This window comes from Homo sapiens, chromosome 11, assembly GCF_000001405.40.
Source record: "Homo sapiens chromosome 11, GRCh38.p14 Primary Assembly".
Lineage (NCBI taxonomy): Eukaryota > Metazoa > Chordata > Mammalia > Primates > Hominidae > Homo > Homo sapiens.
The window spans coordinates 117,479,964-117,493,413 of NC_000011.10; the positions used below are offsets into that span (position 1 = coordinate 117,479,964).

At 53.2% G+C, this 13,450-nt stretch overlaps 1 protein-coding gene across 8 annotated transcripts in view, besides 3 other annotated features; it reads right to left on the minus strand.

Annotated features, from left to right (window-relative positions):
• Positions 1–13,450, minus strand: part of DSCAML1 (DS cell adhesion molecule like 1) — a 389,743-nt gene that overhangs the window by 52,192 nt on the left and 324,101 nt on the right. For 5 of the 8 annotated variants that reach the window (XM_011542918.2, NM_020693.4, XM_011542917.3 and 2 more), the window contains 3 exons: positions 2,000–2,199; positions 1,211–1,307; positions 480–608 (listed from right to left, as the gene is read on the minus strand). In XM_011542918.2, coding sequence (XP_011541220.1) covers positions 480–608; positions 1,211–1,307; positions 2,000–2,199 — 426 coding nt within the window. Of the gene's footprint in view, positions 1–479; positions 609–1,210; positions 1,308–1,999; positions 2,200–2,630; positions 4,041–6,129; positions 6,865–13,450 lie in introns of those variants that run through there. The other 3 variants (XM_011542921.2, XM_011542924.3, XM_011542925.2) reach the window with 3 other exon arrangements.
• Positions 2,659–3,162: an enhancer, noted in NCBI's record as "H3K4me1 hESC enhancer chr11:117353337-117353840 (GRCh37/hg19 assembly coordinates)". NCBI's record gives its function as "activates a minimal SCP1, AML or CMV promoter by ChIP-STARR-seq in primed H9 embryonic stem cells {active_cell/tissue: H9 hESC(primed)}" and the evidence as "EXISTENCE:reporter gene assay evidence [ECO:0000049][PMID:30033119]".
• Positions 3,163–3,665: an enhancer, noted in NCBI's record as "H3K4me1 hESC enhancer chr11:117353841-117354343 (GRCh37/hg19 assembly coordinates)". NCBI's record gives its function as "activates a minimal SCP1, AML or CMV promoter by ChIP-STARR-seq in naive and primed H9 embryonic stem cells {active_cell/tissue: H9 hESC(naive and primed)}" and the evidence as "EXISTENCE:reporter gene assay evidence [ECO:0000049][PMID:30033119]".
• Positions 9,983–10,483: an enhancer, noted in NCBI's record as "H3K4me1 hESC enhancer chr11:117360661-117361161 (GRCh37/hg19 assembly coordinates)". NCBI's record gives its function as "activates a minimal SCP1, AML or CMV promoter by ChIP-STARR-seq in naive H9 embryonic stem cells {active_cell/tissue: H9 hESC(naive)}" and the evidence as "EXISTENCE:reporter gene assay evidence [ECO:0000049][PMID:30033119]".

The window sequence follows — 13,450 nt, forward strand, 5'->3', positions numbered from 1 at the left end:
GGAAATATAGGTCCAAGCTTTTCCAGGGCCTCCTATCCCCCACTCATGGGGACCATTCTTAGGACCAGCTCTCTGATCTCCAATCATCCTCCTCATCCCAGACCAGGAGCACCCATATGACCTGGCCAAACCCGTGATGCTTCTGATGCCAGAGACAGCCCACAGCCCTGGGTTCAGTGCCCTTACATGGCTTCAAATCAGACCACCCTTGGGGACCCTGGCCCAGGGACAGTCCTGGAAAGGAGCTGACATCACTACCCATCAACTGGGGGTCTCCATCTTCCACCCGGACTCCTAGCCCGGCCAGTGTCCCTCCCTTCAGAAGCCACAGCTGCTTGTGCACTGGTGGGTGCTTGTGTGTCTAGCTTGGATGGGCAGCCCTAAGGCTCAGGGGCTCTCCTCCCAGAGGGCACAGGCAGGACACGTGGCACAAGGGGCCATGGCAGGCCACGCTGTCACCCTCCTGGCCCAGCGCCTACCTGATTTGTTCTTGTATTCAATGTCGAAGCCCGTGATGATGCTGTTCCCGTCGAATCGCTGGGTCCAGCGCAGGTTCATGCTCCGGGCCTTCACCTCCCGGATCTCCAGCTCTGGGGGGTCGGGGGGCTCTAGGGTGCGGCAGTGGAGGGGAGGGAAGTGAGGAGGGCAGCAGGGAGCTTGGCCTCCTGCTTGGCCCTGAGGATTGGCATCACCTGGGTCTAGCCAAGGACTCTGGCACCCTAGGGTTTGAGCAGGGTGGGGGCTGGAGGAGGCCAGCAGCCAGGCTTGGAGGCTGAGGAGGCCTGGCTTGCTCTCCTGTCTTGCTGCCATCTTGTTCTTGGCCTGGGAGAGGGCTGACTCTTCTGCAGGGATTCCTGTTAGCTGACGGCATTTTTCCCCTTCCAACTTCCCCAGCTTGACTTTCCCTTCCCACACCTGCTGCAGGGGCCTGGACCCAGGAACCTGACTCCCCCACCCCTCCCCAGAAGGGTCAGTGGAATCTATAGCGGCTGTAGCCATTGCAAACTTTTGCTGTTTAAGTTCCTGGAAAGGTCTTATTTCCCTACTCTGGGCAGGAGGGCAGGTGGAGGGAGGCTTTTCCCCAGAAGGCAGTTTCCTGTCATCCTCCACCATGGCGTAGGCTGTGGCCCCTGCTCTTTGAGGTGGAGTTAGCGGTGGGCCCCTGGGCCCTGGGGAGGTGGGATGGGAAGGGTGGGGCAGGTGAAGGTACCTTGCACAGTGAGTTGGATCAAGCCCCGGTCCTCCCCATACGAGTTGATGGCATGGCAGCTGAAGAACACAGAGTCCCCACGGTCAGCGGGCTTGAGCTGGGAGACCACCAGCAGGGGCAGGAGAGGGAGTAAACAGGGAGAGTCTTTTAGAGCTGGTCAGCTGAAGGGGTCACTCCAGGGCTCTCAGCAAGGCCCTCTTGTTCTGGGAGGGGGACCCACAGGGGCTTTGTCAAGGGCTTCTCTTCCCAGGGACTTCCAAAGATGGAAGTATGGAGGGCTTCATACAGGGAGGGGCTGGGGGACACCAGAGGGAGAGAGGGGCTGAGGAGTCCTAGGGGAGTGGGAGGGGCTGAGGGGGTCCCAGGGGAGTGGGAGGGGCTGAGGGGGTCCCAGGGGAGTAGGAGGGGCTGAGGGGGGGGTCCAGGAGAGTGGGAGGGGCTGAGGGGGGAGTCCAGGAGAGTGGGAAGGGCTGAGGGATCCAGGAGAGAGGGAGGGGCTGAGGGGTCCCAAAAGGGAGAATGGAGCCCTGGGGGTTCCAGAAAAGAAGGTGGGACTGAAGAAACCACATTTGATTGCTGTGGGGTTGTCAGAAAGGAGATACAGTGAAGTTCTGAGACACAGATTCCTGGATGGAGAGGGGAAATAGGTGGGAAAGGGGAGGTACATTTTTGGGGTGTGGGGAGGGGCTCCCAGGCTCCCCATTTGCCTCCTGGATGCAGATGTGATAGCTGCGGGCTCCCCACTCTCTGAGAGTTGGGGTCCCCCAGCACTGAGGTGGGGGTGCTCACCTTCAGTGTGGAGACGACCTCGTCGCCGTTGTCCTTGGTGGCGATGGCATACCGCATGACGCGGTCAGGGTCGATGACTGTGTCCCCCTTCTCCCAGCGGATGATGATGGGCCGCTCACCCCGTGCCGTGCAGTTTAGCTCCTTCGCATGGCCCTTGATGGCGATGGTGGTGTTGGGGTGGGAAGTGATCATGGCCGGGACTGGGGGGCGGAGGCAGAGAAGGCCCAGTGAAGGTCGGGAGACCAGCCTGGAGGAGGCACGCGTGCCCTGCGCAGAAGCCCCCGCCCCAGCCCTCCTCCCCCAGGAGAGGCTCCAATAAAGGAGTACAGGGAACCCCACTGGCCTGTCCCTTCTCCCACATCCATCCATGACTGGGGCAGCCTCCCTCTTCACCGGGGGTCCCACATTCCTCTTCTGGGGAGGGAGTGGCCTGTGCTCAGAATGCTTTTACAGGTATGCCATACATAGAACTATAAAGGAAACCACTTGTATTGAAATATGGTTATGCAAATATTAAAAACATGAACAAGCAAACCTTCGATATCGTATATCACCTATCAGTATGTGTTCTTTACTACTCTTTACAAAATAAGATCCAGTGGTAGCTCGTATAATTGCTGTCTTATATTACCATGATCCTGTAATAGTGCTGCGTATAAGTGATATTTTGAGATATTTGCAATCACTGTGATGTGATGGGAGCATATCCGAGGATTTCTGCTGGTGACAGTCACGGGGCTGCTATTGCTGCATTCTGTCGCTTATGTTCAAAATGGAAGGAATACTAAATTTCAGTTAGAAGTTAGTGAAAAAATGTGATTTTCCCTCCTCCCACATTCATGGATCCCCCTGAATCAGATCTATAGAGCTTCTAGCGGCCTCTGGACCCCAGGTTAAGAACCCTTCTTGAAAGCACCAAGGCTCTGCTTTTTCTCTATAGCTAAGGCTTGTTTATCTCCCTCCTGTTCCTTCAAACAAGATACAAAGGAAAACCCTGGACACCACTACAAGAAGTAAGATCCACAAGCAGTGCTAACAGGACTGAGAAAATCACCACCAAACAACCAGGGCCCAGGCTGGTCATCGGAAGCCCCCGTCCCTACTGCTCAGACAAGAAGCCTGTCAATCACCGGCCCCTCCTCTGGGCCTGAGCACCTGCGGCAGCAGCAGGAGGCAAGGGGCAGGGGAAAAATGGTCTCAGCTGCAGCGAAACCCTGTCCCCTTTCTCCTCCGCCCAACTCAATGAACACACATGGGGCACTTATGCCATCATGAGACCTCGTGCCAGGCTGGGGGGTACGCATGACAATGAGACAGGGTCCTTGCCTCTGGAGGGAGGGGAAGACAGATACCTGCACCGGCAACATGAACTGGAGGAAAATCTGATGAGTGTTTCATCAAAGGGTTAGGAGACATTAACTTTGACTGAGGGGCATCAGGGAAAGCATAGTCCATCCATTCAGCAAGGATTCATTGAGACCTTCTATGTGCCAGGTCTTGTCCCGGGTTCTGGAGCTGACAGTGAATAGGACAAACATGGCGTGATCTCATGTTTGAAACTCCTATGATCTCAGGGAGTTTCACTCTAGTGGTGAGAACAGACAAGACTAGCAATTTCAGTGAAGAGTGGTGAGTCCTATGCTGGGAGAAATGCACGGCCCCTGACCCAGCAAGACTTAAATGGGGAGAGCAGAGGGAAGGGCGCCCAGGCAGGAGAATCTGCTTGAGCCAAGGCTCCAAGGCAGACATAGGCGGGGCAGGTCCCAGGAAGGTCAGTGATTTGGTGCTGCTGGAGACTACCCTTGTCCTTTTCTTCTCTGGGAAAATTTGCCTTCCAGTGGCTCTTGTCTCAGGAGGGATGCCCAGGAGCCATCCTGGAGTATATAAATGGGGAGGGGCTGTCATTGGCTGCAAGAATCGGAAACCCCCCACCCCCATTCAGGGGAATACCTCTTGTCACAGCAGAGACCAGCTCACCCTATCCTGGTCACTGGCCTGCTTTGGGCAATCGTGCAAAAAGGGGCTTTGTCTTCTCTGTCCTCAAAACCCAGTTCCCTGCCCGCCCCCCGCCCCTGCCCCCCGCCCCTGCCCCGGCACCGTGTCTCTGCTCCATTTCAACAGCTGGCCCTTTCTCCTCCTTCCTTCCGGGTATTCTCAGGGTTTTTCTCTCTCCTAGTTTTAAAGGCCTGCTCAGGCAAAGTTGTTCCCAGCAAACTCTCCAGGGACGTCTGACTTTTATGGACAAATAAGCCTTTGAAGAAATGAGGGGAGCCACAGAGCTGCCACGGTGCCATCTGACACCAGTCCGTGGGTGAGGAGGCGTCTGGGACAGGAGTAGGGTGGATGAAGGGAGGTTTCAGGCTCCCCGAAGTCACACCACACAGCAAGCCACCTCCTCTGCTGCCTTGTCATGCAGGACTTGATGCTGACGACAGCCCTGGCCTCCAGGCCCCCGCACCAGCCTCTCAGCACATTCCCCAGCCCCAGCTCATCAAATAATGAAGCAGATAAATTTTATAATGCACGGCATTACACTAGGATATACAATAAAATGCAAAAGACAAATAACGAGGTGCAAGTTATAATGAAGAAAAAGCCTGCAGTCAGAGACATCCGAGTATGAATTATTGACTAAGGTTTTACACTCTCAAGGATGTGCGGAGGAATATTTTTCCATCAAAGATTTGCATAATTCACTCGTATAAACCTGGGTGGAATATAGAGTAAGATTTTACACCAACAAGTCAGGACTTGCATTGCAGATGCCTCCATTTTTTACTGGAGAATTGAGCTCGGGTGTCGGGGAGGCTCGTAAGCGGACTGGGGACTGGGACCCCCATGGGTCGGGCCCTGAGGCCTCCTTCCTGGGGAGGAATCCTGTTCCTGAGAGGTTGCTGCTGAAGCCACAGAGAAGCAGAGGAACAGTGTGTGTGTGTGTGTGTGTGTGTGTGTGTGTGTGTGTGTGTGTGTGTGTGTGTGTAAGTGGGGCTGGGAGGGTCTTTCTTTGGTAGGAGGACTTCACAGTTCTGCAGCACACCTCTGTTCTGTTCTCCAGGCAGGCCTGCACTAACCCTTCCAGGACCTGTGTGTGAATTACAAAGGCAACCCCACCATGCCTCTGGCTGGGTGCTGCCTGGTGCCGGGAGCCACAGCTTGGCCAATGAAGCAGGGACCATGTTTCAGACCCCATTCACCCCTGAGGCTATGTACTTTTGAGCAGTGCACAACCTGTGTATCCATACATGCCATTCCCACTTCAGGGAACCTGCCTTTCTAGTCAGCTTTGTTCAGCCCTGTGGGCAGCCAGGGACAGCAGGGTCCCCAGGGATCCTTGGCCCCTCAGCCCTTCTGTGTGTGGTAACAACCATACCTGGAGCCTGAGACAGGGTCCCTTCACCCTTCCACCAGCTTAGGATGGCAATGAGCATCACACACCACAACTCTTACAGTCCCCTAGCTCAGGGCTAGTTCAGGGGAGCCCGTTCATGAGGAAGAGGAGAGAAGCTTGAGGGGCTTGGGGCCAGGCCAGCCTGGGATCTGCTTCTGTGGCTGCGAGCTATGTGGCCTTCCACCCCTTAAAGCTAACTTCTGTGAGCCCCACGGAGCATTGTGAGGACAAAGTGAACCCACATATGTAAACTGCCTGCCACACAGCACTTGCTTAAGAAACCTGGATTCTAGTCCTATCCCCAAGGGGTTCCATCAAGACAGGAGCTCTTTTTTATAGAAACGTGTGACGTGCAACATAGATTATTGCCTTTCATTTTGTGTGTCAGGACAAGGGTCTTTTTGGGTAGAGGAAAAAAGCCTAGGTCTGTGGCCTGAAGACAGACTGTGGTACTGAAAGCAAATGTCAGAGAATGTGGTCCTAGGCAAAAGAGGACCTGGCCAGAGTCAACCTCCATTGAAGTGTCAAAAGTGGCTCTTCTTGGCCTGGCCAATGGTTCCTTGTGTCATAGGCTACACCTACTGGTGTCAGCCAGCGCTGGCCGGTCCTAGCTTGATAACCAGAACCCCACTGGGCTGGTATAATTAGCCCCTGAATTCAAAACAACTGGGTGCCAGGTAATAAGGACTACCTCACATGTACAAGTGGCAGGGAAAAGGGTGTGTGGCTTGACATGCATTACCAGACTCCATGGAAAAGGCTCAAAGAAAAAACTAGGTCAGAAGTCATTTTCTTTTCCATCCTCGCCAGCGCAAGTGAATGCAATCAGCCAATTAGCTAAACTGGGTCTGCTGAACTCCCAAAATGGCGGATGGGAAAGTGGCGGATGGGAAAGTGGCGGATGGGAAAGTGGTGGATGGGAAAGTGGCGGATGTGAAAATGGCAGATGTGAAAGTAGTGGATGTGAAAGTAGCGGATGTGAAAATGGCGGATGTGATAATGGCGGATGTGAAAGTGGCTGATGTGAAAATGGCGGATGTGAAAGTGGCGGATGGGAAAGTGGCGGATGTGAAAATGGCGGATGTGAAAGTGGCAGATATGAAAGTAGCGGATGTGAAAATGGTGGATGTGAAAATGGTGGATGTGAAAGGCGCATGTCTCAGGCAAGAAGGAAAGCAGAGACCTGGTGCAGTAAGATGGATGTATATCCTTCCATGGGAATACTGCCAGCTTCCTTCCAGGCCTTGCCCCTAAAAGTTAATCTGGGAAGTGCAAGACTGTATAAGACCCATGTCTGTTACTCCTACAAGTTCAGAAAATACACGTGTACAAGTTACTGGCTTCAGGTGTTACTTGCCAGGTGATTCCACAGAATCCTAGCATCCTAGCATTGCAGAGCCCAGATGAAGACCTGTTCTACTGAATTTGTAGCAGCTGCTGGCCACATGGGGCTAATGGGCACTTGAAATACAGCCAGCCCAAATTGGGATGTGTGATAAGTATAAAATACATAGTGGATTTCAAAAATGTAGGAAGAAAAAAAAAAAGAATGTAAAATACCTTTTTTTTTTTTTTTTTTTTTTTTTTTTTTGAGACAGAGTCTTGCTCTTGTTGCCCAGGCTAGAGTGCAGTGGTACAATTTTGGCTCACTGCAACCTCCGCCTCCTGGATTCAAGTGATTCTCCTGCCTCAGTCTCACAAGCAGCTGGGATTACAAGCGCGTACCACTACGCCTGGCTAATTTTTGCATTTTTAGTAGAGACGGGGTTTCACCATATTGGTCAGGCTGGTCTTGAACTCCTGATCTCAGGTGATCCACCCGCCTCAGCCTCCCAAAGTGCTGGGATTACAGGTGTGAGCCACTGCACCTGGCTGTCATTAAGTTTTATATTGACTATCTGTTAATATTTTAGATGTATGGAGTTAAATAGAATATACTATTATAATTAATCTCACCTGTTTTTTATTTTTTTGAACATGTGACAGAGAGGGGATTTCAAATTACATATTATTTGGCTCACGTTATGGTTCTACTGAATGGAACTGGTATAGATCAGTGACACAGACCCTTCCTTTGGCAAATGGAGAAACTGAGGTGATGCAAGGAAGCAATTTGCCCAAGGTCACGTTGCTGGTAAGCAGAAGAGCATCTTAAAAGAGGATGGGTTGCAGAGGGCAGTACTGAACACACAGCGATGCTGTGAAGGGTGGGCGGCCCGGTATCACTGGGAATGCGATTTCTCAGCTCTCTAGGACTCATAATTACAAGCTCAGGTTATCTGTTCCTAACATTAACCAAGAAATATCAGGTCTTGTTCTGGGGACCCTATTTGACGAAGGACATTGACAGGCTGGAGTGTGACCAGTAAGATGGGCCGATTTCAAAGCATGCTGAGAACTGGGAATTAGTAACCCAGGGAGCAAGGGAGAGACACTGCAAGGGGGGAAGGGAAGACCTCCTACTTGGCCTAAGAAGGAATGTTCTAGTATTTTCTGCTGTTTGGGGAAAGGGCCACAGTGGGAAGTGGCAAGCTCCCTGCATTGGAAGTAGACAACCTGTGGCCTCACAGAAAGGAGTCAATTAAGGCCTGGATCTGGGCCCCTTGTCTTTGGGCCCTTGGGGGTGCCCGGGTCTCAGGAGAGGGAAAGACGGTCTGGGAATGTGGCTCACTGTCTGATGAAGTGGTTCTATGAATCAGAGTACTCGTGTCCTTGCAGATGGGCGCTTTCAGCCCCTTGTCCTCAGTAAGAGGCAGGGAATCCTCTTCCCCTCTTCTTCTGCCAACTAACCAGAACAGAGAACTCTGCCACTGTGCCCCTCCATCCGGCCCTGCACCCAGCCTCCAAGGACCACGGTGTCCTCCTGTGCCCACAAATAGGAGCTTTGGCCCTCCTGGCTGCTGTACTGCTGGGCTTAACAAGGCAGCCCCTTAATAGGGGGAAGTTCAGGGCATAGGTGCCTGCCCCATTGATCCTTCACCTTCTTCCACCTCCCCCTTACTTCTTGCTCTGGACTACAAGATCTCTCTGCTTCATTGAGTCGCAGTAATAAACAAGATTGAACTCTCTCTATATGGAGACCAGCTGTACCTCACAGGGCTTTTTGGGTGAAGGCGGCCACCACGAATTCCCTGGGGAGATGGTCATATGCACTCACCAGGAGTACAAATCCTGACATGCACAGACACAGACACACACACACACACCACACACAGAGGGGCAGTGTCAGAAACACACCTCAACAGACAGTCACAAACACAGTCACCCTCACAGCCTATGCTCTGACACCCTTACCATAAACCCATGGACGGCATTACACACACATAACCCGATGCAATGATCAATTGCATGTCAATACCCTGATGTGCTTGTTTAACACACATCTCCCCACACTGCTGTAGTCCATAAGCACAGGCTCTCTCCACACACACACTTGTATAGTTCCCTTTTATTGGGTGCTTACCATGTCCTGGCAGGATTCTAAGTACTTTGCATGAATGAACTCATCTGAGGTAGGCACTGTTATTATGCCCCGGTTCCAAAGCCTGTGTCTCAGTGTATTTCTTGACGAAGCTCCATGGCCTCCCGCATGCCCAGGTTCCCCTGACAAAGCAGGCCCTGAGCTGGATGCCTCTGCCTTTTGGCCTGTTGTTCAGTGGTTCCTCCCAACAGCAACCACGAAAGCAAGTCTTATCATCTCCACTTTTCAAATGAGGAAACTGAGGCTTCCAGAAAGTGTTTCTTCCACCTCTAAGGGGGCTGGCCACCTCTAGCCATCTGTTTGTCTGCCACCCTTGCATACAGTCCCTGGCTTTTGGAAATGGAATTTGGCTGTCACCAAAAAGCTGTGGCCTCTGCGGCGGGGCAGCTGCAGCAGGTACTCCTGGGGCAGGCAGTGGGGACTGCTGCTTTAGGGGTGCAGGCGGGAGAGCCGGGGTGGGGTATATGCACAGGGCTGGGTCCTGCGTGACAAATGCTAATGACAGCCACAAAAGCACCTCACTGCTCTGTAGGGCACAGGAGGCTTTAATGAAATACAACTTCTCTGCTTTCCTGCAATCTAATTCAATTAACAGCCAGGGAAATCTGATTTCTCTTTACAAACGGGTGCAGGGGAGACTTTCTGGGGACTTGAGAGAAGGGAAGGGCTAGGGCTAGGCACAGTGGTGTGGGTGAGCTCCTTCTCAATACACAGCTCCTTCCTATACAGCAGCTTTAGGTGGGGTAGGGTCTTCTCTCTGAGACCCTGGGGGAGTGAAGACCCTGGTGTGAAGACGGCCCATTTCATTCAAGCCTCAGTTACAGTCCCCAGCACCTGCTACAGTGCCTGGCACTGTGATGACCAAATTGGGGCATACTCTGGTGGAGGCCAAGGAGGCTTCCTGATGACTTCCAGGGCTCTTCCCTGACACCCCACATTGCATGCAGGCCTCTCCTGCGGGGCATCCCCTGCATGGCACGTGTCCTCCGGCAGCGTCCTTGCCTCCTTGTGTGTGACTGTGAGACTCTCCAGGGCAGAAGCATCTCTATTCCAGGGCTTAGCTCGTGTTTGTGGAAAGGAGAGCTTTACTGGGTATCTTTGCCGTCCTCCTCCAGTGCCCCAGGGCAGCCTGCCCCAGTCCACACTTAGGCTCACTCAGGGGAGCGGGGAGCCTTGCTGGGCCACTGGGGCTCAGGAAGCTGCCTTATAACCATGCGGAAACTCCAGATTTCCTTCTGCTCGTTGAGATGGGCAGGCACCCCTCAAAGAGGAAGCACCACGGAGAGGAGAAAGGCACCAGAGCCGTAGAGGAATCACCCCCTCCCCTTGCTCCAGGGCTCTTTCAGGGCAGCAAGCCGAGGTGGGAGGAAATCAATTTCAGAAACAAGACAGTTGTCAGAATCTGATGTAACCGGTTCCCGTCTGTGAAATTACTCGCAGGCCGGCTCCTGTCACCCCTGAGGTCCTGCTTGGACCAGCTGCTATTTACATTTTAATTTGATGTGAGAGGCTGATAGATTTTTAAAACACCACAAGACAGCTCTGCTGCCTCACTCACTCCCGGCATCCACACACTTTCTGACCAACCCCCAGGCGTGGAGGTAGAGTTCTAGGGGTCCCCAGACCCTGCCACGGGGATTGCAAACTCTGCTCCTACTTGGCCCCTACTTAGCACCCCCAGATCCCCGCTTCCACTGGGGTCCAACTTAATAAGCTGGGGCAGGCCCGCTCCTTGCAGTTTACAAAGCAGTGCTGCATCCTTTGCCTCCAGCTTCATTCTTACTAAGGAGGTGGCCTGGCTCTATTATCCCCTACAGAACCAGTGAGGAAATGGAAGCCCAGAGAGGTTCAGTGATTTATGTAAGGTCACACAGCTGGTGAGTGGCAGGAAGGAGACTGAACCCCAAGTCCTCTGACAACTGGCCAGCTCCTTTCTTTCGGTTTATCCTAGCCTTCTCCTGTGTAGGTTTTTCTTCCTCACATGGAGAGATTCTGGGGAGAGTGAAGGTGAGTGGGGGATTTTGAAAGAGGCTGAACACTGGAGGAGGTCCGGGCTAGCAGGGCCAGGAGGCCAGTCCAGGGCAGGCTGGGGCTGGAGGCAGGATCTGGGGAGAACGGTGAGTCTGGCCTTCCCTGTCTTTGTCTCCTGGCCTCTTTTCCTCTGGTGATTGGAGCTCAGCTGGTGTTTCTGACAAGTCCCCAAGTCACCAGGGAGTGAAGATTCAGTTGTGAATACCCAAAGGAGAGGAGCGAGCGAGCAGTGTGTGTGGGAAGGAGGATGTTGAAGGAACAGGATGAGAATGCCACGGGCTGCCGGGAGAGGCTGCTAAAATGCAACAGAGGCATGGAATGTTGAACTCCAAAAGGAAGCCTGGGTACATCTTCACCCCATTCATGGGCATGACTACGATAATAATCATCACAGTCTGTTATACTGAGAGCTTACTATGTGCCAGGTACTGTTCTGAGTTCTGTTACCTGCATTAACTCATGGAATCCTCACACAACCCTATTTTTATTTTCACTTCACAGATGGGGAAACTGAGGCTGAGATAAATAAATTGCCCCTGGTCACATGGCTAGTAACTGGCAGAGTCAGGCCATGGCCCAGGTCATTCGTGGTCTCATCCATGACGTAAGAATGTGAATGTTGGCCAGGTGTGGTGGCTCACGCTTGTAATCCCAGCACTTTGGGAGGCCAAGGCAGGTGGATCACTTGAGCTGACCTGAGTTTGACTTGAGTTTGAGACCAGCCATGGCCAACATGGCCCGTCTCTACTAAAAATACAAAAATTAGCTGGGCATGGTGGCGTGTGCCTGGAATCCCAGCTCCTCGGGAGGCTGAGGTGGGAGGATTGCTTGCACCCAGGAGGTGGAGGCTGCAGTGAGCTGAGGTTGCACCACTGCACTCCAGCCTGTACAACAGAGTGAGACTCTGTGTCAATAAAAACAAAAAACAAAAAACCCCATGAATATCAGAGAAGGCCAGTAGACATCGAAGTAGAATCAGGGGCCCAAGAATAGGGGTGCCAAGCTGAGCTTCTCTGAAGAAAAATGCACGTGAATTTGGGGGAAAGAAGATTGGTCTGGGAGCCAGGGGACCAAGGGGTTAGGCTAGTCTGCACTGCCAGGTGGGTGGTCTGGGGGAGGGTCTGGAGGAGGTTCTCAGGCCTGGCTACACCTGAGAATCACCTTGGAAGCTTTTAAAAAATATTACACAGATCCTACCCTGCCCCCCAGGCTCTGACTTATTGTTCCATGGTGGGCCTGGCCGCCTGCATTCCCCATCCCTACCCCGAGGTAATTCTCACGTGGTTTGGAGAAGAACCCCAGGGCTGGATGAGCCCTCCTCTACCTCCTATGACAGCAGCTGCCTCTGGCAGGACAACCCCAGAGGCAACGGGATTGGAAGAAGGGCAGCAAACTTAGGGTGTCCTTCATCAGGAAGGGACTTGACTTTGTCAGAAAGTCCTCCTGAAAGTCTAACTGAAATCTCTCCGGGACTCTCATAGTGCTTTTCGCCAAAAAAGATGCTTTGGGGACGATAAAATGCCTTCTTGGATGTCCTCTTCTTTGCCTTCTGGGAGAGGCTTTTCCAAGGGACAGCAGGTACCCTGAAGCCTCTCAAGGGCTCTGTGAACCCACCTTGTCAGGGAGCAGGGAGCCCGTGTGTTCAAGGCTCGGATCGCCTTTTGTTTCTGAAAGGATTACATGCACCCCTGAGAGGTGAGGGGGCCCCTCCTTTTCCCCAACCCACCCCACTCCCCTTCTCCCCCAAAAGCCTTGTGTCGCTGCTCCTTGTTAACAAGTTCCCGACAAGAGCTGCAGTGCTGTTTGGCGGTGTGAGATAAGCCGCCACAAAGGGGCATTGTTGGCGCGCCGGGTGGTCGGCGGGGCGGGTGGGAGCAGCGCTTCACTCAGCCTTCGACGGCAGCGGCATCTCCAGGCCTCCCCTGGGAAAGGCTGGGGGCGGAGTGGGGAGGGGGTGCCTTCTGGTGCCTGTTTTGTTTTTCCCTTCTTAAAGAGCCAGGGCCATGGCGTTGTTAATTTGATTGCACCCACTTCGGCTTCTTGTCTCTCCTGATTAGCCAAGCTCCACCTGAAGCATGAGATTAATTCAGATTGCATGGAAGCAATCAGCTTCAGCGCCAAGAGCCAGTGGGGAGGTGCCAGGGGAGCTGGGGCCCATGGGACCCTGGCTGTCCACTGCTCCAGTACACAGGGAGCAGAACTGGGCCGAACAGTATGTGTGCAAGGGGTAGGGGTGAGGGTCACAGAGAATGGTTGGGGACTTGGACTGCAGAGCTGTTTCTGCTGCACTGGGGGTCCAGTTGAGGCCCTCAAACTCGCCAGGCCTTACTTTGTCCAGCTTTAAAATGGGGCCAGTCACCTCTTCTCTTGGCTCCTTGCTAAAGAGTAGACGCGCAGGACGGGGAGTGTTCTCAAATGAAGATGGGGACCCAGTTTTCCCCCTGCCTCTGGTCCTCTTCTTTTTTTTTTTTTTGAGACAGAGTCTCGCTCTGTCACCAGGCTGGAGTGCAGTGGCACGATCTTAGCTCACTGCAACCTCCCCCTCCCGGGT